This window comes from Homo sapiens, chromosome X (genome assembly GCF_000001405.40).
Source record: "Homo sapiens chromosome X, GRCh38.p14 Primary Assembly".
NCBI lineage: Eukaryota > Metazoa > Chordata > Mammalia > Primates > Hominidae > Homo > Homo sapiens.
Genome location: NC_000023.11, coordinates 29,825,916 through 29,850,204, shown reverse-complemented (window position 1 = coordinate 29,850,204; position 24,289 = coordinate 29,825,916). Strand labels below are relative to the sequence as shown.

The following is a 24,289-nucleotide window of genomic DNA, read 5'->3' as shown; positions in this document are numbered from 1 at the left end:
AGGAAGAATTTCACTCACCAGAATTTTCTTCTTTGAAGAATGTGATGACCTTATTTGAAGAAGAAGAAAATCTACTTTCCCAAGGGACTACACTCAGGTGCCCTTAAATGCCAAAGAAGATGTTAAAAGGAAAAGCAGTGCATCGGGTTCACTCTTGTTGAGAGAGACAGAGAAAGAGATTAAGATTTTAGCCACTCAAGAGTGGGAAAGTTTGAGGAGAGGAAGAGAAATCTGTAAAAGATTTGGGGCCAAGTTCTCTGGGTAATACTCTGAGGACACCCTCCCCAACTCAATTCTGTCATGTTGAGGTCATTTTAACAATCTGCTTATTTTTCCAATGACTTCTCTTTTTATTGAGAATAAAATAAAAACTCCTTTTCACGGTTTGCAAGATCTTGTCTGATCTAGCCCCTGGCAGCCTCTTCGACCTGATCCAAAGCTCTCTTCCCCCTTCATTTCTGTCCAGGCCAGTAAGCCTCAAGTTCCTCCATCTTGTCACGCTTCTTCAGGCTTCAAGAGCCTTATGTCCTGTTGTTCCCTCTGCCTGGAATGTTTGTCTCTAAAGCTTTCGATAGCTCAGTTGTTCTCAGTATTCAGGTTTCAGGTCTTATGTCACCATCTCAGACAGGTCTTCTCTTACCAATCTTCATGAAAGTGTCCCCCCTCCTCTGACACTTTCTATTCAGTTAGCTGGCTTTACTTTTCTTTACAGCACTAATCAATACCTGAGAAAATATTTGCTTGTTTCATTGTATAGGGCCTGTCTATTTCATAGAATACAAACTTGTAGGGGAACTGGGTTATCTTGGTCACCAGGTATCCCAGCACCTAAAAGAGTCTCTTCCTTATAATACATTTCAGACTATACAGTCTATAGAATTAGGACTGTATTTCAGGTTTCAGGTATCAGAGTCAGGCTTCAAGACAGACTATCAATATTTATTTACATGTTTACATGTAATGGTTTAATGTAAGTCAGAACATAAGGGAGAATTTGATAATATACCAAAAATAGAAAACTACATTTCTTCTTAAAAATAAAAGATTTTTTTGGTAGCTTACCCATTTTTTTTTCTTGCTGTTATTCCCATGAGGTTGGTAAGAGCAAATCTTGCTGTTCTTATTTTAAAAACATGGAGACAGGGTGTGGTGGCTCATGCCTGTAACCCCCGCACTTTGGGAGTCTGAGGTGGGTGGATCACTTAAGGGTAGGAGTTCGAGACTAGCCTGGCCAACGTGGTGAAACCCCATCTCTACTGAAAACACAAAAATTTGCCAGGTATGGTGGTGCACACCTGTAGTCCCAGCTATTCGGGGGGCTAAGGCAGGAAAATTGCTTGAAACCCGGAAGGCATAGGTTGCAGTGAGCCGAGATCGCACCACTGCACTCCAACCTGGGTGACAGAGTGAGACTCTGTCTCAAAATAAAATAAAAACATGGAAACTAGAGGCACATACTAAGTCAGTGACAGAGTCCAGACCAGAGCTCAGCTCTCTTGACAGTAGTCCAGTCTGCATTCCATCATAATTTCTATCACACTTGATTGCTTCCCTTTGAAAAAATATGACTAACGCATCCACAACAAAATAATATTAAATACAAACAAAAACCATAACTATTTAGTTGCTTTGGCCTTTCATAGAAAGTCCTTATCACCTGCATCCAATGAGTTACTATTTGAAATCCCTGTGGGATAAGCTGCTCTGCACAAGTCTGAAAAGGACTACTGCTTTTGGAATGAAATAATAGGATGTTTTTTTTTTTTTGCTATATTTTGGAAAAGAAAAAAAATATGTGGTGCTGTTTGCTTTTTTTCTACTAAGCAAATAGTAAGAAAGATTAGCTTTAGCCACGTAAGATTAGGGAAGAATCAGTAGCATGTATTTGTTTCAATAAAAGTCTATGACAGAAAACAATTAAACTGGAAATAAAAGGGGAGAAAAATCATTCTACACAGATCTTTTAAGTTTCTAGGCTGAGTCCACAATTTGCATTTATGATTGTGATAACAAATGTTCTTTCTCTTTGTATCTTGTAAAGGTACACACTCTCCTACAAAAGAAACTGTCATCATCTAAAAATGTGTGATTTTTAAGTTTCACTTTTTTAAAGGAAATATACTTCTGATCATCTGTAAAGAGTTGAACTCTTCTATTTGAGAATTGTATCTACTGATACAATTCTCAAGCAAAAACTTTTTTTTATTACATCAGATCATTTTTTAATGAAAATATGTAGTATTTTAAAAGAATAAGCAGAATGGATCATATTTCCAGAATAAAACTTCAAAATGTACAAATTTGGCAATATTTTCTAAAACATTTTAATTTGTATATTAAACCAAAACAAAATGAAAAAGCACGGGGAAGTAACCAAAAAAGATATTTAGATCTCATGTTTTTGTATTTCTGGGCACAGGATAAAAACCTTCATTATGTCAAATCAAAGATAAAGCACATTAAGAAAGAAAATTACAACTGGAAGGACAGGCTTGTATTTTTCTTAAAGGTATTTAACTTTCTTCAGCGATGGAATTTACTGCTATGGCTAATCTGTTCACATTCAAAATGAGGAACATAAGTAGTGTATGTAGTCTATCTATGCCATCTATATAGATAAATTACTTAGATCCCTTGTCTGGATATATGATTTTGATAACATTGGTGATATTTAAAAATGATATATTTTCTACCTTTTATGCAGCTTAAAATGATGCTGTATTTTGTTTTTTAAAATTTTTACACAACTCAGTGTAAATATAAAGAACTTGAATTACAGTGAAATTAAATGACCTGCATGAGATCAGTTATCTCACTAATAATAAAAGCAGAAGCAGAATTCAGGCCTTCTGATGTCAAGCTTGGTCACTAAACCAATGTGTGGTGACCACCTCTCTGATGATAATTTAGTAGGCCATGGGTAGATTCCTTCTGAATTAAAATAGTCCTGATTTAAGCAATGTTTTCTATAAGCATATTTCAAAGCTGTTGGCTACAAAAAACATTGACCATTCCTCTGCTCGTGGTCTTATTTCTAGATTATCCTTATCTACTCGAATTACAGAGATTTCTACATTTGACTCAAATGAATTTAGCAGGTGCTCCCTTGAAAGGGGTGTGAAATGTTCTATTTTTAGTAACCCTTAGGATTTCAAAATCAAGATTCAGTCCACATTTTATGCTTAATTTCCCACAACTGAGATTTTCTTTTGTCATTTAGAACATTTTAATTTGCATGTGAGATGATACACAAAATGAAGGAGCATGGGAAAATGAGCAGAGATGAATTATTATATGCATCTTTTGTTCTCTTCCCTGCCCATAGGGACATAAGCTAAAATTCACTGTGTATATATGCATACAGAGTACATATACATATATACGTGTGTGTGTGTGTGTGTGTATATACATATATATACATATATACATATATATGTATATATATATATATAGACTGTGGTTAGTTTTACTTTGATTAATGGCTATACAATGTGAAATATTTATATTTGACATAGTAGGGAGAGGAACCAATGCTAAAAGAAATAAAGTATCTCCTAAGAAACTTCCATTGATTATGTATCAGTGCATTACTGATCTTCTAGAGACAATCCTACCCATTACGTGGTTTCAACGCCATTAAAAAGTAGCCCTTCATTTCCTAGGACTTGACCTTTATCTCTTAACATAGAGACATCATGTTAGAAAAATAACATCCTATCTCATTACAATGTCCTTATTTCTAACACAGTTCTAGCAATTATTGGCACACATATTGCAAGTTTTAATAAGCAACTTTTGAGTCTATTTCTTCCGTCCTCTTTGGCTAAAATGTTATGGCTTTTAAGAGTCAGAGTTAGCAGGGACCAGCAAGGGGACGGGAAACAAATCCATTCATTTTACTACTGGTTCACACCTTTGGTGAACAAGTAAGGTTTCTGTATTTTGTGTAGGATCCTCATTCTGCAGTACTGGCCTCAATTCTCATTGATGGGTAGGGTTATCTTGTGGGAGTATCAGAGTGTAACAGCGATACTAATAACACATGAAACAGTGTTGCACGGAAAGCCAAACCTAACAGATTTTATATATGCAGACACAAAAAGAAATAAGTAGTTGATTAGTTTGGATGTGCGTCCCTGCCCAAATCTCACGTGAAATGTAATCCCCAGTGCTGGAAGTGGGGACTGGTGGGAGGTGATTGGTTCATGGGGGTGGGTTTCTCATGAACGGTATAGCACCATGCCCTTGGTGCTGTCCTCATGATACTAAGTGAGTTCTCAAAAGATCTGGTTGTTTAAAAGTGTGGCACCTCCCCCCTTGCTCTCTTGCTGCTGTTTCTGCCAAGTTACGCGCCTGCTCACCTTTTGCCTTTCTGCATGATTGTAAGTTTCCTGAGGCCTCCCCAGAAGCCGAGTAGATGCCACCATGCTTCCTATACAGCCTGCAGAACTGTGGGCCAATTAAACGTCTTTTCACTACCCACTCTCAGGTATTTCTTTATAGCAATGTGATAATGGCCTAATACAGTAGTTGCGTGTTGGGGGTGGAGGAACCAATATATTTTGTTATTCAGGCCAGGACCAACATTATTAAAAATGTGATAGTTAAGTTACTGGGAACACAATGGAGCTCACCAGAATTCAACCTTCATGTTTTGTGTTAATATTCAGTTGTGTCACGATTATTTGCTTCTGGCAGTTAAAACTGTCATGCCCAGAAACACTACATTTCAGTAAATCATAATTATTCTAGCTTATATATAATAAACAGAATTAAATTCAAAGTCCTTACCATGGCCCACAAAACCCTCCCTACCCGACCTGGTTAGCACTATAGTTCTGGAATCATCTTCAAACACTCTTCCCCCTGGCTTTCTGGGTTCTAGTCACACTGTCTCCCATTGTTGTTATTTGAATACCACAGAGAGTCTCCCACTTATTGTGTCTTCTGCCTATACTGCTTTTCCTTTCAGTATCTGTATGGCTTGTTTTCTTATTTCAAATAGGTATTTGCTCAAACATTGCCTGTATTAGTATCCTTGCGCTGCTGCAACAAATTACACATACTAGGTGGCTTAAAACAACAGAAATGTATTCTGTCACAGTTCTGGAGGCCAGAACTCTGAAATCAAGCTGTCTATAGGATTCGTTACTTCTGGAGGCTCAGAGAAAGAACCCTTTCCATGTCTCTCTCCTAGCTTCTGGTGGTTGCCCACAATCCTTGGCATTTGTTGGCATGTAAATGCACCACATGGCTTTCCTCTTTGTGTGTCTCTGTGGCTTCTCCTGTTCTGTCTCTTATAAGGACACTTATAATTCAATTTAGCTCCACCCAAATCCAGAATAATCTCATCTCAAGATTCTTAACTGAATTACATCTGCAAAGATCTTACAATACAGTTGTTCCTTGTATCCAAGAAGGATTGGTTTTGGACTCGCTGTGGATATCAAAATCCAAGGATGCTCAAGTCCCCGATATAAAATTATGTAGTTTGCACATAACCTATGCACATTCTCCTGTATACTTTAAATCATCTCTAGATTATTTATAATACCTATTACAATGTAAATACTATGTAAATAGTTGTTATATTGCATTGTTTTTATTTGTATGTTTTTATTGTTTTGTTTTTTCTTAGAATATTTTTGATCCACAGTTGGCTAAATCCATGGATTCAAAACCTGTGGATACTGAAGGTCGACTGTATTTCCATATAAGATCACATTTACAGGTACCGGGGGTTAAGACTTGGACCTATATTTTGGGGGCCACTATTCAACATATCACATTGCTTCTTCAGAGAGGACATCATTGACCATACTTAGTGATAAAATGGCACCCCTCATCATACATATACTAACACAGTATGCCATCTAATCCTGCCTTATTTTTTGTTATAGACCAAATATTCAGGACATATCCAATATTAATTTATATGTGTTCCCTTCTAGAATGCAACCTCCATGAGAACAAAGACTTTGTCTCCTTTGTTAATTACTGCACCTCAGCATCTAGAACATTGCCTGACATATATTAGGTTCTCAATACATATTTACTGAATGGATGGATAGACAGACATGGTCAAAATCTGATTGAATACCATGTATTGGTGCTGAATAATTCACAGTATTTATAACACAAAATAGAGTTATTGGGGTTGTAGGAGACAAAATAATGATCCCCAAAACATGTCCACGTCCTAATCTCAATCTCTGGAACCTGTAACTATGTTACCTGACAAAACAAAAGAGACTTTGCAGATGTGATTAAGGATCTTGAAATGGAGAGACAAGCCTGGAATATCTGGGTGGGTCCAGTCATAAGGATCTTTATAAGATGGAGGCAGGCAGAATGGTCCGAGTCAGGGAAGGAGATGTGATGATGGAAGTAGAGATGAGAGAGAGAGACACACAGAGAGAGAGAGAGAGAGAGAATTGAAGAGAGAGAGAGAAGTGAGAAAGAGAGAGAATTGAATTGCTATGCTGCTGGCTTTGAAGATGGAGTAAACAGTCATGTGTCAAGGAATACAGGCAGCCTCTAGAAGCTGAAAAAGACAAGGAAACAAATTACCTTCTAGAGTCCCCAGAAAAGACCAAGCCCTGCCTACGCCTTGATTTTAGCCCTGTAAAACTGATTTTGGACTGACTTCCACAACTATAAGATAAAAAAATTGTGTTGTTTTAAGCCTCTAAGTCTGTGGCAATTTCTTATAGCAGTCACAGGAAGCTAATAATCACAAAATGTAACCATCTGTTTTTATACTGACTTTTTAGTTCTAAAATTCACTCATAATGTCCTAAGAGTAATTAACAAATCAGAAGATAAGACAAATGTATATATTTTCCAATAGATTTCCAAACCACAGCAGAGATATTATTTGTACAATATTTCATATCTATTTTATACTACTAAGGCCCATGCATGTTACAGTGGTCATGTACCTTACCAGCTAAATCTCTAAAATGGAGGCCCAGTTCTTTTGAGTACATTGCACCAGTTGCATTAATAAGGCTAACATTCCATCTTGTCTATCAGTGAATGTACGGAACTCATAATTCAGTACACGCCATAATATTTATCGAAATAGAGGTTGTTCTCAAGCCCTCAGTAGAGAGTTATTAGCATTTCATAGCAGCTGAATTCAACAGTGAGCAGCGAATATACAGCAATCTGTAGTGAAATATTTATAAGCTTAACAGTTTTCATTTTTCTCCTAGTGAAATACAGGGATAGTTCTGTTTTGGGTTGTACAAGTGTAGGATCTGAAAGGCACTGAAGCATGTCAATCTGGCTGGGGGGAAAACAAAAGCACAACTCCACAGCTTATAGTTAATGCCACAAGTACTAGTGACAAAAATGACATTTTGTGTCGATCACTTGTATGAATGTACTATGCTCTGAAATGTCGTCTTTGAAAGTACATACTCTCCTCCAGGAAACTGAAGTCTCCGTTGCACTGTAACAGGGACCTTTGAACTATACAACTTCAAAGGTGTTATGGTCAGAAACTTTATATACTGTGACAACAAAACACTGAACTAAAACAAATATCTGGATATTCTAAATTAGAATCACATCTTCACATGAATGAAGTACACAACAGAGGCCAAATGTTTCGAATTAACACAATTGCCATTTTAATCCTCTTTACAAGATGGGGCCTGTTCAGGGAACCTGAAATCATGTCAGGCCTCAGGAGTGTGAACTTGACACTCCAAATAGTCCCAGAAACACTTAAGATTAAACATCTCACTGAATGAAATGTTTTGAACGGTTTTCCACACATCCGAGCCCTTTCTTGAAATTTCCACAGCCTGAATTCATTTCTCCACCAACTATATCTGGACAGATCTATTCACCTGTGCAGAAAAGAGTTAATCTAACAGGCCTGAGGCTGCTGTCCTTAGAAAGGACTGCTTGCAAGGTTAGCATTCAGCTGGAATCCTAAAATGGAGGCCCAGTTCTTTTGAGTACATTGCCATAATATTTATGCTTCTGAAAACTTAGATATCAGAAAGGTTCCCAGCATTTTCTGATAACAAATGGGTTTACTATGCCTAAACTGTTTGTGCAGACAGTATGGTTTAGGGCGTTTACATGAACAACCCCCAGTAAAATCTCTGGGCACTGAGTCTGTAATGAATTTCCTTACTAGAAAACATTTCACACATGTTGTCACAACTTCCTGCTGAAGGCATTAAGTGCATTCTGTGTGACTCCCCTGGGAAAGGACTCTTAAAAGCGTGGGCCTGGTTTCCTCTGGTAGTCATCTCACACATACCTTCTCCCTTTGTTGATCTTGTTCCGTATCCTTTTGCTGTAATAAATTATAGCCATAGTATGCTATCTGCTGAGTCCTGTTAGTCCTCTTAGTGAATCACTGAACCTGGGGGTAACCTTGGAAAGCCCTGTTACATCATTCTGCATTCTCAGCTCCTTCTATGTGAAGCCACTTCCATTCCTCCTGCGCCAGAAGAATCCCTCACTCGATTGTTCTGAGTAACCCAATTCATACTGCTTGTATAGTTCTTACATACCGTATTACAGTTGCTATGTATACGTCCATCTTTTCTGAGGACAGGGATCATGGTTTATCATCTTTGTATCACTATATTCTAGTATAGTGACTATAAACTAAATAGTTGCTCAATGAATGCTCGTTCAGTTTAACTGTCATCAAGGGTATAGCTTGCAAAAAGAAAATCAAATGCAGTCTATTCAAGTATAGCCAAAACCCCGAATTTTGGCCTTTTTACATGCTCAGCTTTTTTAAAATGAAGATAATATTTTTACTTAAACAAACTAGCACATAAACAGACGATAGATTATAAAGCAAAACATGACAACATAATAAATATGGATCATATCTTGGCTGTATGAATATATTTAAATTTTGAATTTACTTCCTATAATATTCTTTGTCATGATGTGTAATTATCAAATAAACATTTTGTAACTAACATTTTATTTTCCTATATACTTGAGCTTCTATGATTAAATATACATGTACTCTGTAAAGCATTGTTATCTGTCACCCCAGATTTTCCCTTCAATTGAGTAGTTCAAATAACTGTATATTTGAAGAATGACTTTGGCTATAGAGACCATGACTGGAGTTACCAAACAAACATAAAATTAATATAGGGCACACCTCAGACACCTTGTGGTGTTTATGTAGTATTTTAAGACATAACAGCAAATTCATGGATAGCTTTATTTTAAAATTCTTCTTCTTTAATAAATGTTCACAAAACGGTAATCACCCTATTAATGTTGCTATTAGGAATTCATTGGTTATTGGATTATTCATTGGAATGATAGAGAATATTGTGATATAATCAATATTATTTTTACAGGCATGTTTCACCTTGTTCCTTATTAACATTTGATCCCAATGAAGTCTTCAAAATCTTTCCCTTCCCTGCACCATAAAACTACCAAGTATCAAAGGGCTGTCAGGTATTATTATAATTCTATCTATCTCTGAGCCTGTGTTAACCAAATGTTCTCTTTCTTTTTGGCTAAAAAGTCAGCAAACATCAGAGAGGTTCTGTCAGTCATGAAAGACCCTGGCCATATATATAAGATCTCTTTGCACATTATATTAATCCTTGTATGTTCTGCACTGTTTTAATAATCTATAAAATAATAGAGGTAGAAGTGTATTTTGGTGAAATATATTTTTTATTTCATGCAGTAGATATGACAAGTACAGTGATTTCCTGGGATTTTTTAAAATGGGTTTTCATTTCTATCGTCTTCAGGTCAAGGCAGTTTAGTATTACATTTACTGACCAATTTTGAATTAGGCAGACTGTATTTAAATGCTGCAGGGGAGCCAATAGAATGATCTATTATCCACAGATCAATGGGGAAAAGCATGTGTTCACTTGAAAATTATGGAGGCTCATCTACTCTATTGTGTCAGTGGCCCTGATCCAAATTAAAGATGTGAACATCCGTCCGTTAATATCAGAGCCAGCTTTTAAGACAATCAGGCCAAAGTAGAATTCAATTTACGGGCTTTTCTGATTATTTGATTGTAATGTCAAGCCGACTTTAAGATGACTCAGCCTCTTCAATGGCCATAATCGACACTTTGGAAATTTTAAACCGTTATGACCTCTTCTAGCCTGCGACCCCCCAGTGCAACATATAGGCTTTATTAACACAGATTTGCCTCTGATTGTACATTGTAAGGAAGTTTTAAAAATAGCTAAATCAATGGCTCAATAAAAGTTTAGTTTTTGTTTTGTTTTCATTTGTTTGTTTTGTTTCTGAGACAGAGGCTCACTCTGCCACCCAGGTTAGAGTGCAGTGGTGCGGCGTGATCACAACTCACTGCAACCTTGAACTTCTGGGCTCAAGTGATCCTCCTGCCTCAGCCCCCTGAGTAGGTGGAACTACAGGCAGCACCGCCATGTTTGGCTAATTTTTAAAAAAAATATTTTTGTAGAGACAAATTCTCCCTGTGTTGGCCAGGTTGGTCTTGAACCCCTGGCCTCAAGTGATCCTCTCCCAAAGTGCTGGAATTACAGGCGTGAGCCTCCCAAAGTGCTAGAATTACAGGTGTGAGCCACTGTGCCCAGCCAAGTTTCAGCTTTTATGGAAGTATATTATGCAAACATACATGCATAATACGTAATTTTAGGAATATACTTCTGTGCAGAAGTTGATCCTCCAGGTTAATGCATAGCTTCAGCAGATTAATATGAAATTGTTAAGGAAGGAGACACTAACCTCACTAGCCGGATAACTGAATAACTATAGAGGTCAGTGGGATGACATATCATTAACAGGTTGTTCTCATATTAGAATATTTGCTTTGTATAACCAATAAATGGGAGTGCATAAATATCTGTCAGAGAAAAGAGGGCCAACATTTATTATGTGTCTCCAATGTGCCAGGTGATTGACCCATTGGTTTACATATATGAGTTAATTTTAATCTCCACAACAACTCTATGAGATGAGCAGCAACTGGGCCTGAGGGATTAAGAAACTGGCTCATAGTTTCTTATACATATATGTAGTTGATTGTTGTAATAATGGCCCCCGATTTTTTCATGGGTTTTAGTATCACTATTATTTCTTGACAGTACCCTTCAGTCTGTCTCTGGGCTTGGCCATTTTGCCAATGGAACAATAGCAGAGACTTGCATATTTGGATTTACCTTCTCTTACTGATCACTGCCACACCATCATTTGGAAAAGCTCAGGCTGCAATGCTGGAAAATGGAAGATACAGGAAGCAGAGGCAAGCCATGCCAGCTGAAGCCTCCATAGATCAGCCTACCTACCCAATCTGGCAGTCACCTGCAGGTGTATAATTGAGCCCCAGCTGAGACCAAATGAGCCTGGCCTAAACCAGAAGAACCACCTGGCTGAGCCCACCCCAAATTGTCTTCCTGTAGAATGATAATCTAAATAAAGGGTTAGTGTTTTAAAGCAAGTTTTAAGGTTCTTTGTTATCTGGTATGAGCTAACTAACACAAGGTGTTAGTAAGAAGTGGGGCTGGATTCTATACCTATGCCTATCTGAGTCCAAGGGCCATGTTCATATCATAAGTAAAAACAAGAAGAGAAATTAGAGTATAAGTCATGGCAGTTTGTTCCCTGTGATCAGAATAGCTAAAAAGATGTGCACAAATCTCAAACAAAGCTCTTCTCTGTGAAAATGAACAGTGGCAAACTAGACTGCCTGAATGTTATGATTTTAATCCAATAGGCTTATGAGATATGGATCCAAATTTACACACATAAATATTTTCTTTTCAGCTCCCAAGTATCTCTAAAACAATGCTCTTGATACTTGAGGAGATTCCAAGTTGGAAGGGATTAATAGCAGCCTCACTTTATGTGTTACTGGCCTGGTAAAGTTTTTCCATGCTGATCATCTCATTGTGTTATGTGAATTATTCAGAATATAAATTTGCTTTCATTGTTAACCTAGGAGACAATAAACTTGACAATGGAAATGGAAGTATGAATCATACTGGAGACTTCATGAATATTCAAGTTAAATCAGATTTGGTTCTGAACCCCACACTTCTGCTCACAGTGTAAATCACTGTGTATATTACTCAAGAGGTCACCCCAAACAGACTTTAGGAACGCTTCTTCCCTGGAAAATGCAATTAATTACTATTGTTGGCCCCTAAGGATTTCACTTTCAAATTGTTTATTTTCTGGTGTCACTGATGAGCTGACTGAGAAAATGAAACACTTCAGTTTAATTACCAGCTGCAATTACAGCTCATGTAAAGGTACTTCATCTTACACTCTTTTTATAATTGTCTATTCTTATGATATAATATGCAGCTATATTTTCTGCCTTTCAAAGTGCTAACAATGCCACTCAATTTGCAAAAATAATATAAATAAATAAATAACACGAGATGACGCTAAAGTGTTTTGAATGTGGCTTAAAGCTGTTGTAAACACAGTGCTATGTTCTGTTTCATCCAAAGACCTTTAGCTTCTTGTACTTTCAATACATAAATATCATGGAAGTGAGAAAATAGGTAAGTCAATTTAGTCAACCACTTTATTAAGGTTAGGTTCTGTTTTAGAATAGAGATGATATAAATACAGAAAGTCTAGTCTAGTTCAGATGCAAGTAGATAGGAGTTTATATCCAGCTTTTTCCCTTACCAGGGGTGTAACTAATGTCTTCTTACTTTCCTAATTTTATTGCTTGTTTGCTTAACCTTATGAGTTGTATTTACAAAATGGGGTAATGTTGGTTTCTAACAAATAAAGCTGTTGTGAAGACTAAGTAAGATTATTGATGTTAATTGCCTGTCATAATTCCTGATACATACTAGGGGCTTAAGAAACTTTAGTAATTTACTCAACTCTTCACCTTCTCTCCGTCTATATATGTGTGTGTGTGTGTGTGTGTATATATATATATATATATATATATATATTTTTTTTTTTTTTTGAGATGCAGTCTCTATCGCTGAGGCTGGAGTGCAGTGGCGCGAACTCGGCTCAATGCAAGCTCCCCATCCCGGGTTCACGCGATTCTTCCACCTCAGCCTCCTGAGTAGCTGGGACTACAGGTGCCCGCCACCACGCCTGGCTAATTTTGTTTTTGTATTTTTAGTAGAGATGGGGTTTCACCGTGTTAGCCAGGATGGTCTCCATCTCCTGACCTCGTGATCTGCCTGCCTCGGCCTCCCAAAGTGCTGGGATTACAGGCATGAGCCACCGCACCTGGCCCACCTTCATTATAATTTTTATGTACAGGGCAGCATGATATGTTGATAACAATAGGCACTAAAACCTGACTTCCTGGGTTCAAATTCTGACTATACTCTTACAAATTTTGAATCTTGGCCACATTATTTAACCTCTATGAGCTTCAATTTTTCTCACTGGTGACGGGGAGTAATAATATAATCTACCTAATAGGGTCATTGCAAAACTTAAACAATAGTGCAGAAATAGGTGCCCAGCACATAGAAAGCTAGAAAAAAAAATCTATCAATGTGCTGACAAAATCATTATATTTTTGCTTTAAAAGTATTAGAATGAAGTATCGTTTATGACCACAATAGTAGAAAACTAGAAATCCATAACAGGAGGAACTTTGGAAACCTGAAAAATACATGGAAATCAAACCATATGCTCCCAAATAACAAATGGATCAATGAAGACATTAAAAGAAAAATTTAAAAATGTCTTGAGACAAATTAAAATGGAAACACGGGCCAGGCACGGTGGCTCATGCCTGTAATCCCAGCACTTTGGGAGGCCAAGGCGGGCGGATGACAAGGTCAGGAGATCGAGACCATACTGGCCAACATGGTGAAACCTAGTCTCTACTAAAAATACAAAAATTAGCTGGGTGTGGTGGCGCACACCTGTAATCCCAGCTACTCGGGAGGCTGGGGCAGGAGAATGGCTTGAACCCGGGAGATGGAGGTTGTGGTGAGCCAAGATCATGCCACTGCACTCCAGCCTGGCGACAAAGTGAGACTCCGTCTCAGAAAAAAAAAAAAAAAAAAAGAAAAATGAAAACACAACATACCAAAATCTATGGGCTACAGCAAAAGCAGTTATAAAAGTTTTTAGCAATAAATGCTGACATTGAAAAAGAACAACAACCTAACAATGGACCTCAAGGAACCAGAAGAAAAGAAAGAAAAAACTCAACCCAAAATTAAGGAAGGGAATGATAAAGATCAGAGCAGAAATAAATAAAGACTAGAATACAATACAAAAGATCCATGAAATGAAGACTGGCTATTTTGATAAGAGAAGCAAAATCAACAACCCTTTACCTAGACTAACTAACTAAAAAAAAAAAAAAAAAAAAAGAAGACTCAAATAAAATCAAAGATAAAAGGAGACATTACAATTGATACCACAGAAATACAACGTATTATAAGAGACTATTATAAATAATTATACACCAAAGCGTTGGATAGCCTAGAAGAACTGGATAAATTCCCAGATAACCAAGATTGAATTATGAAGAAAGAGAAAACCTAAACTGACCAATAATAAGAAAGGAAATTGAATCAGTAGTAAAATGTCTCCCGTCAGAGAAAAGCCCAGGACTTGATGGGTTCACTGTTGAATTCTACCAAACATTTAGAGAATAATTAATACTAATTTGTCTCAAGCTATACCAAAAAATGTAAGAGGATGGAACACTTCCAAGTTCATTCTATGATGCCACCATTATCCTGATATCAAAACCAGACAAAACACACATTAAAAGAAAACTACACGCAATTATCTTCAAGAAACATAGGTGCAAAAATCGTCAACAACAAAATACTAGCAAACCAAATTCAACAGCACAATTAAAAGATCACTCACCATGATCAAGTGGGATTCATCCCAGGGATGTAAGAATGGTTCAACAAGATTTAACCATGCTACATTGTATATATACTTCAAAACATCATGTTGTACATGATAAATACATGTAATTTTCTATGTCAGTTTTTTTTTAAAGTAAGAGAACCCTCTAAAGGCTCTTATTTCACCTTCAGTAATATTTAGAATTTGGGGAATGAAGTGCTTTAGCACTAAAAACAGGATACAAAATGAAAAGTAAATTGTAGAAAAGCATTGTGCATTCTTGTATCTGATAATGTGTGCTTGAAATAATAGACACAGCATCTGGATTTTGTTTCTGGAATGTTATTTACTGGGAACTACAATGTTTTTGAATGTTTGGCCAAGGGGATGTGAAATAAGCATGAAATCCATATTAGTGTCAAAACAGATCTGTGTTGTGTTATTATGTTTGCCACTTTGATATACAGCTCTGAGACATGGACTTGGTGCAGCTGTCATAATAGGAAACATGAACAGTTTTATATACATTGTTGATACAAGATAACCCAGCATATAAAATGAAAAGCTAGAATCATAAATATACCAGAAATTCAAAACTAAAATGTGAGTGGAATTGTCTGTCATGATGTCAGCACAGTTTTGCTTAACCAGTCATGTAGCATGAATGGAGGATATTCAAAATTGAAATCATTTTACATTGATGTATTTGTAATTCAAAGTATAATATTTGATGTTCTATTTATTGAAGCAGGGCTATCCTGGAAGTACATTATATGAGGGCACATGGAATTTGGTCTCAAGTAGAACCAAAAGTGGTAACATATTCCACTTTGTCCCACTAGCTCTTAAAAGAGCATCACCCAAAATTCCAAAAAAAAAAAAAAAAAAAAAATCCTTTTTCTTTCACAGCCTCTTGGCAAGGGGTAGCGTTGAGAGGTTGTGCTGTGATATTTCTATGACTGGATTTCCATTTTAAAAATGTAAGCAGTTTTTGTGTGTGTGTCAACTGTGCTGTTGCACTCACTACTAGAGTCATCGGTATATCCTTAACTATGTCCACAGAGACATAGAAAGATACAAAATCTTCAAGGTAGAACCAGACCATGGAGTTGACTTTTAGCAATGCCCTTTAAAAGCAGAATAAAAAATAAGAATGCATTGTTAAGCTGTTTTTGATGTTTATGGCAAGCTCTCTTAGCAGTCAAATGACAAGATAACGTTTTGCTTTCAGTACACTTAATTGCACATACATATGAGCTCAGAGGAACTTTTAAGAAGTATTCAAGCTTCACTTGTGATCCTGAAATAAAGATTTTTCTATGGAATTACTGCAAACATAGATTAGATTAGCTCTGTGCTTTATGGTGGAGGCGATGGCTACAAGGATATTCATAGGACAAGCTACATCATGCCAAAGGCTACAGAGAATGCCAGCCCATGTGTTGTGAGGTAGCTGAAAAGAGTTCAGATTTGGGTAGAATACATTCCTTAGATGAAACATGGATCCTATTTGCACATGTTTAAGGGAGTTTTATGGGAAAGAAGAAATAGACTCAAAACTTGGCTAGTCCTACACCCTGCCCATAGCAGGCATCACTAATGGATCACAGCAGCTCTTTTTCCTGATGAGATTGAAAACACCTTGGAATTGTTCCTAACACTCTAGTCAGTCACTATTAACCAGAATTTTCTCAAGAGATGGATTTGAAATATAAATCATACTGGAGACTTCATGATTTGTCATTTTTGAAAAACATACCATTTCTGAAGTGAGCCCTAGGTAGAATAAACCCAGGTGTTCTAGAGGTAGATTTAGGCCCATGTAAATAAGTTTCTATGTTTTAAATGTGCTCAGAGTAGCATGGGCTGCCTATAATTCTCCCAGAAGTGTTCAGGGACTCCTTGGGAAAGTGCCTTATAGGGGATTAATGTAATAAGGTGTGGAACAGTAAGATCACTTAGAGAATTTTCAACACCGTGGTTAAAAATATGAATGTGGGTCAAAATATCCAGAACCCCCCAAGTTAAAAAAAAATACATACTAAATACGATTTATATTATATGACAGCCACTTGAATGCAGCAAGGTAGAGAGAAGAATATCTATCTACCCATCTATCATCTATTGATACCTACTACATACATGCATGTGCATGTGTGCATATGTGTATATATGTGTCATCTGAATATTACATTATTTTATTCATAAGGTACTTCTGGAAGAATTTGTGAAGTTGGAATTTTAAAATCAACACCACCATAATGCTTATAGTGCTTGTTTTATATCTGAAGAATTGTAATAGACCAAATACTTCAAATATACACATTTTTTACTGATATTTGTACCTTAGCAGGGGGGTAGTTGTGGGTATTTACCTTCTTGTGTTCTACTTCATCAGAAACAATGACATTTATTAGTCTTTGAGTTTTTCCCCCACCATTTATTAATGATCAACATTTTGTTCAATGTCACATACAGGAGCAGCGTGTACCAAATATTTGTGAATTTGTTTTATCCCTGACAGTGAACATCAAAGCCAACAGATATTTATTACAGGTAAAGGGAGGTGGGGGGCTTTAAACCATGAATAGATCTGGGAGGAAACTCTCTGCATAACATTGTGTGTGTCAGTGTGTTCAGTGTGTGTGTGTCCCTTTGCATGCCAAAAAAAAAAAAAAACAAAAACAAAAAAACAGCATTTACAGAGGAAATAAGGAGGAAAAAAAGCTTGTGGACATTGAGAAGTGAGTCTTGACCCATTTGAGCACAATTCCCTTTTACTAGCCAGTCAGCAGTGGGTGATATTTTCCACTCCTTTGATAAGATCTTAGGCTGCCTAACAAGTCACATTTTGTTTCATGCAAGATGTGTTCCATTTCCTTTGGCACAGAAAGATATATTCATAAAGCTTTTCTGTTACATCCCTTGCCTTTTCTGCCTCTAATTCCCGACTCACACCCCCAAATTTTGCCAGCAACTATATCTTCTTTCTCCAAACTGAAAACAGAGTTTATATTTGATAATTTGAATGTGATGGTTGGGAAAGGAATGATTATGTAGGGACTTCTTTCTTTATATAAGGATGCTAGATATTTTGGAAGAGAGAAATAATATGCACACTTTTAAGTCAGGTAGAGCACGGATTTAATTTCATTCTCTATAATCTTATTTTTCTTCATGGCACATGTTCATTAAATCATTTGCACCAAGGATACCTAGAATCCAAAGTATTTATCAGTCCTTGAGAATAATCTAATAGAAGTAGAATAGCATTTCTTTTCATCTCATGACCAGCTCCTTCTGCTACTTTAAGGTCACATACAAACTTAGTTGTGATGTTGGTTCTTGAAAAAGAATGTCATCAGGTGTCCCACGGGTTGACAGCATTATGGAAAAAATCATATAAGCAATACCTAAAACTGAACTACCATAAATTTAGTTCTCTTTGTATATTAACTACAATCATAAATACATAAGAGGTTATTAATAAACTTATATAATAAAACTAGAGGGGATGCATATTGGGACATAATGGCCCTAGAGGCTGATATAAAATATATTTTAACTAAATACTGTTGGGGTGGTAGGGGAAAAGTTTCTGTTTTATCACTGCTTCTGACTATATATATTTGTTTCTCTCCTCCTTAGACAAGGCTCTCCACTTTCAGGACTTAAGTATGCTCTTTTAGGTCAGTATTATACTTTTGCTAACAAGCTAAACTTTCCTGTAACATGATTAACATATCTGGGCTATAGTTTCATGTCAATATCCTAGAATTAACTATTTGAAGCTTAGTCTTAACCAAGCCCAAATTTCTTAGCACAACAACGAAAACCCTTATAGTCTGATTCATGTCTATTTCCCCAGTGTCATTTCTCATGATCCTCATATTAAACTGCGAGAGATTTTCCAAACAAACCATCCTTTTATACAGCTCCAAGACTTTGCACATACTTTTGCTTTGCTTCTGCCTGGGATTCCATTCCTGTCTCATCTTCAGGTCACTTTATAAGCATCCTCTGAGATCCTTCTCTCCCACACAATATGAGTAGTGATTTGTTGAAACTGAGTTCCATGGGGGGACTTAATTGCCTTTTACTGGAGGGTAAGAGCCACACTTTATATACCTGTTTTTGATACCAGGATCTTGTTCTTTCTTTCCTGAGCCCTTTCATTGTGTCTGGTTTGCTCACACAATACCTTAGCAGAAGCATGTAATAAACACAATTGGTAAACGGTGTTTTGCCAGCCAAGAAATATTTATGTTCTAAGCACTATTCACAGAGAATACAGCTGTGAACAAGACAGAGTCCCTAGTCTCTAGAGACATTGTCTCTAATTTTCCTTTTAAATTCAAATTTGGAACCATTATACTTTACTCCATTCTTTCCTAGCTCTTAGGGCCATTTCCAAAACGCATCTCCTAAATCTCATTTCATGTTGCTTTGAGAACCTATTTGGATAAGCCAATTTTTCTAGCCTTGAGGCCTGAAACTCCTTTAAACACAATTTTGTCTCTCTATCCCCATATAACTAGAGACATGGACACAAGGTACTCCCAAATTTTGCCCTTGGGGATCTGCACTGGTTGGTTCAGTCCCATTCAGCTATCTTTTTTAAAGAGTCTGAGAGGCCGGGCACGGTGGCTCACACCTATAATCCCAGCACTTTGGGAGGCCGAGATGGGTGGATCACTTGAGGCCAGGAGTTCGAGACAAGGCTGGCCAACATGGTGAAACCCCGTCTGTACTAACAAATACAAAAAAATCAGCCAGGCGTGGTGGCGGGTGCCTGTAATCCCAGCTACTTGGGAGGCTGAGGCAGGAGAATCGCTTGAACCCAGGAGGCGGAGGTTGCAGTGAGCTGAGATTGCCCCATTGCACTCCAGCCTGGGCAACAAGAATGAAACTCTTGTCTCAAAAAAAAAAAAAAAAGAGTCAGAATTGGTAAATGATGAATCTATACTTGGTAAATGACAGAAAAATAAGAAAATATATTTAAAGAACAAATATTACTTAAAATATTAGCACAATTAAAGTGTTAAAGTATATGAAAATTCATATATGCTCCCTCAATAGAATTGCTCACCCAATGAGATTCATGATGACTCAGTGAAACTTTTATCAATGTCATTTTTTTCTCATCATTTGTTGTTTAAATGTGCCAACTATTCTAGTTTAGCTTAAGGCAGGGAAGAGGATTATTTCTTTTTCTAATTTTGGCTAATGTATAAGAGGTTATGAAAAATATGCAAGGGTACAGGGACATATTATCCGCAAAATGTATTCAATGATTTAAGACACCTTAAATTCAGAATAATTGAATTGAAATGTCAAACTCAAAATCAAATATCAGAGGACATTTGCAGCAAGCCTTTTTATACTTGGTTATTTTCTACATATGAATCTCAAAAGAGAGCTAATTCAGCCTACAAAGAGAATCATATTTTAATGAGAGTTGATGTTAAGTGATCAAACCATTGTAATTTATATTGAGGAAATGTAATTTTTGAAAATCCATTTTACATCCTCTATGAAAAGTGTTTGGAAACTATAGCAAGGTATGTTATTCTCAGATTAAGCAGTAGACACTATCAATCAAAATTTTTCTAGATTAGATCAAAATATTAATATAATTTTTGGTACTTTGTAGATCATGTTTTTCTGTATATTATCTTATCCAATCCTAAGTATAACACTGTAAAATAGAAAAAATACCACTAATTCCATTTTATAAGTAATGCTCAGATAATTAGTGACTTGTCAAATTAATAAAGCCAAAAATTGGTGGACTTGGAACTTGTAGTCATGTGTTTTGACTACACTGTCCAGTATTAAGCTGTTATGGATAGTCAGTGCCTAATGAGTATAAGATCCCTTCTAAACAAAAATAAAATACCCAAAAGAAAGACCTCATTCTTGTACAGATTATTGTAACTTTCATTCATGTAACATCTTTAGCACCTACCATAGTCAAGCATAGGGGCAGGCAGTAGTTTATGAAGATGAGGAAACATGTCCTCAAGTCCTTACAGTCAGAGAACACAATAATTTTACTAATATTGCTAGCATTATCTACTAGTTAGATAATACAGTTTAAATGGAAACCTTCCATGTCATGTAACATAAAAAGGACAGAACCATCATAGTTCCATGGAGGGTGTAATAACATTGTGTGTGTGTGTGTGTGTGTGTGTGTGTGTGTGTGTGTGTGTGTGTGTGTGTGTGTAGGTTTTTGTCCATGGTTCCTGGCTCATAACTCTTGTCATTTCCTAAGTGTTTAAAACAATAAGCATACCTTTTGTTAAAATATTTGGCCATTTGCCCTTGGTTCCTGAAGCAGCTTTGGAAGTGCTTCAGAGCAATAAAGATAAAAGACCATCTTTGGTTATAATGTTGGGGTGCTGCAGGCCTCAGAAGCAGACTTCAGAAAAAATCTCTCCTTCTGACCTTCTCGTACCCTCTTTTCACCTCCTCTTTTTTTCCCCCCGGCAGGACTCTAATCTCTCCCCACCTTCCTGTCTTGGAGCTGGCCATAAAGAAATTCTCTGACCTACCTTGTCTGATTTTCCATAAAAGTCATCTGTGTTATAGCACCAAAAGTCCATATGGTACATTCTGCATAGAATTTTATGATGGGCATATAACTATAAAATAGTCTAACTGTAGAGATTCCAAAAAATGTCCATCAGGGCTATATATCATAGAAATAAAATAGAATCTTACAGATAAAATAGGCATCTCAAAACTAACATGTTCAACATCAAACTCTTAATTTCCACTGCACATGTACATCCAGTCCTGATCCTCACTTGTCAGTTCCTCAGACACCAAATCTTTCAATCATCCTTAACAGTTCTCTCAATCCCACATATGATTCATCAACAAGTTCTGTCTGTTCCATTATCAAAATATATACATAAACTATCAATATCGTACCATCTCTACCTTAGTCCTTGGTACCATTATCTCATCTGTAGATTACTGCTTCTCCATGAGTTTTCCACCTTCTAATTTTGCCTTCTTAATCATCTAGTCTCTAAAGGTCAGCCAAAATGATCCTATTAAAATGCAAAGCAGTTCATGACTCTCTTCTCAGAACTCTCCAGTGTCTCCTAATCTAATTCACAATTACAAAGTATTTTACCAAGACCTGCTCTATGCCTACGATTCCCATCCCCCAAGTACTGTCCCTTTTGGTCTCACCTTATCCTCTCCCTTTGTGCCTCCCTGACTTTTGTCCAGTTACAATGTCTTCCTGATGTTCTCCCAGCCTTTGGGCCTTTACACTCCTGCTCCCTTTGTCTGGAATCATTTATCCCAGAGATGAATAAATAGCAGTTAATATCAGGTACAGGTCTAGGCTATGTAGGGCCTACAGCTTAGACAACTTGGAGGCTCTCTTTCTAGAAAAGAATATGGTACTTTGTATACAATATTTAATAGAAGGCCACAGAAGAGGCCCATGTAAGTGAGAGGGACTAAAGTTTTAGCTTTCTTAGCCTCATATATATCCGCGTCTTATGTAACACTATGTGCCACACATCTCTCTAAATGCTTTACATATACTACCTCATTTAATCTTCATAACAATCCTATGAGGGAAATACTATTATTCCCATTGAATAGATTAGGAATCTGAGACACAGAGTGGTTAAGTAATTTGTTTTAGGTCAAAGGACGAGTGGAGGGCCAGCCCTAAGTATTGAGCTTGGCCTGGTCCCAAAGACTGTGCTTTTACCTTCTTGTGCATTAAATCTGCAGGTCTTGCTTTCTCACTGCCTCCAAATCCCTGATCAAACAACACCTCATCAGAGAGGCCTTCTCTGGTCACCTTACCTTTCCCCACTGTCCCCTCTCTAGAGCCACACCCTCTCTCATTTTTGTTCATAGCATGTATCACCACTTGAAAGGTTAGGTGCTCACTTATCATCTATTGTCTATCTTCACGCACCTGAATGTAAACTCTCACTTTGTATCTGTTGTTAAAAAATTTATTTCCTGATGCCTATAACAGTGCCTTGCACTTTTCAGGTTCTCGATAAATCTTGTGGAATAAGTTCTTCCTTTATATTCAATGTCTAAAGTACAGCTCCATAATGACTATGATTACAAAAACAATTATACACAGCATATTCTATTTGCTAGGAGTAAGTGGTAATTTTTAGATCAGTGGTTCTCAAAGTGTGGTCCAGGAACAAGTAGCATCAGCATCTCCTGGGAGCTTGTTACAAATACAGATTCTCAACCAACCCGCAAAACTACGTTCAACATCAGTAGTCATTAAGGACATGCGAATCAAAACCACAGTGAGTTGCTATTCCATACCCACTAGAATGACAGTAGTCAAAAAGACAGACAATAACAAGTGTTGACGAGAATGTGGAAAAATTGGAACTCATACAGTGTTGATGGGAATGTAAGATAATGCAGCTGGTTTTGGAAAACAGTTTGGCAGTTCCTCAAAAAGTTGAACATAGAGATACCGTATGACTCAGCAACTTCACTCCTAGGTAGATAGCCAAAGGAATTGAAAACATGTTCATGGAGACATTATTCACAAAAACCAAACCACTGAAATAACACAAATATTCATCAATTAATGAATGAATAAACAAAATGTAGTATATCCATACAATGGAACATTAGTCATCCATAAAAAGGAATGAGGTACTGATGCATACTAAAATGAGAATAATCTTGAAAACCTTATGCTAAGTGAAGGAAGCTAGACACAAAAAACCACATGTACGATACCTTTTCTATGAAGTGTTCAGGGTAGTCAAATCTATAGACATAAAAAGTCAATCAGTGGTTGCCAGGGGCTGGAGGTGGGGAGGGGAGAATAGGAAGTGACCACAAATAGGTACAGGGTTTCCTTGTGTGGCGATACAAATGTTCTGGAATTAGATAATAATGGATGATGCTTGCACAACTCTATAAATAATTGAACACTTTAAATAGTAAACTTTATGGTGTGTGAATTTTATCTAACTTTAAAAAATGAAAAGCAAATTTTTGGCCCCCACCCCAAAACCACTGAATTAGAAATTCTTGGGGTTATGTCCAGCAGCTGATGGTTTAACAAGCCCTCCTTCTGTTACACTCTTGAGTCCTGATGTTTTGGATAAATTTTTTTTCCAAAGGACAGCTTTTATAGAAATGGCCACCTCAATGGAATTTGGTTGGTTTGGAGATTTGAACTGTGTCAGTCAGGCATAGATATAACACTAGCATGAAGTGTGTTATGGAGGTAAGAACACAGGATTGGACGCATGACAATGTAGGATTAGGTTCCAGAAACACAGGTTATTAGTTCTCTTTCTTTGGGCAAGACAGTCACATTTTCCAAGTCTCAACTTCCACATTTATAAAATGGCAGCGGTATTAACTTTCTCACAAGACTGTGGGGGAGAATTAGATGAGATGATAGGTAGGGACACCGTGAAAACAAAAAACTCTCAACCCG

General features: G+C 36.9%; 1 protein-coding gene across 3 annotated transcripts in view; it reads right to left on the bottom strand.

Moving 5' to 3' along the window:
- IL1RAPL1 (interleukin 1 receptor accessory protein like 1) overlaps positions 1-24,289 on the bottom strand; it is a 1,369,273-nt gene that overhangs the window by 106,514 nt on the left and 1,238,470 nt on the right. The gene's annotated exons all lie outside the window — the stretch shown is intronic.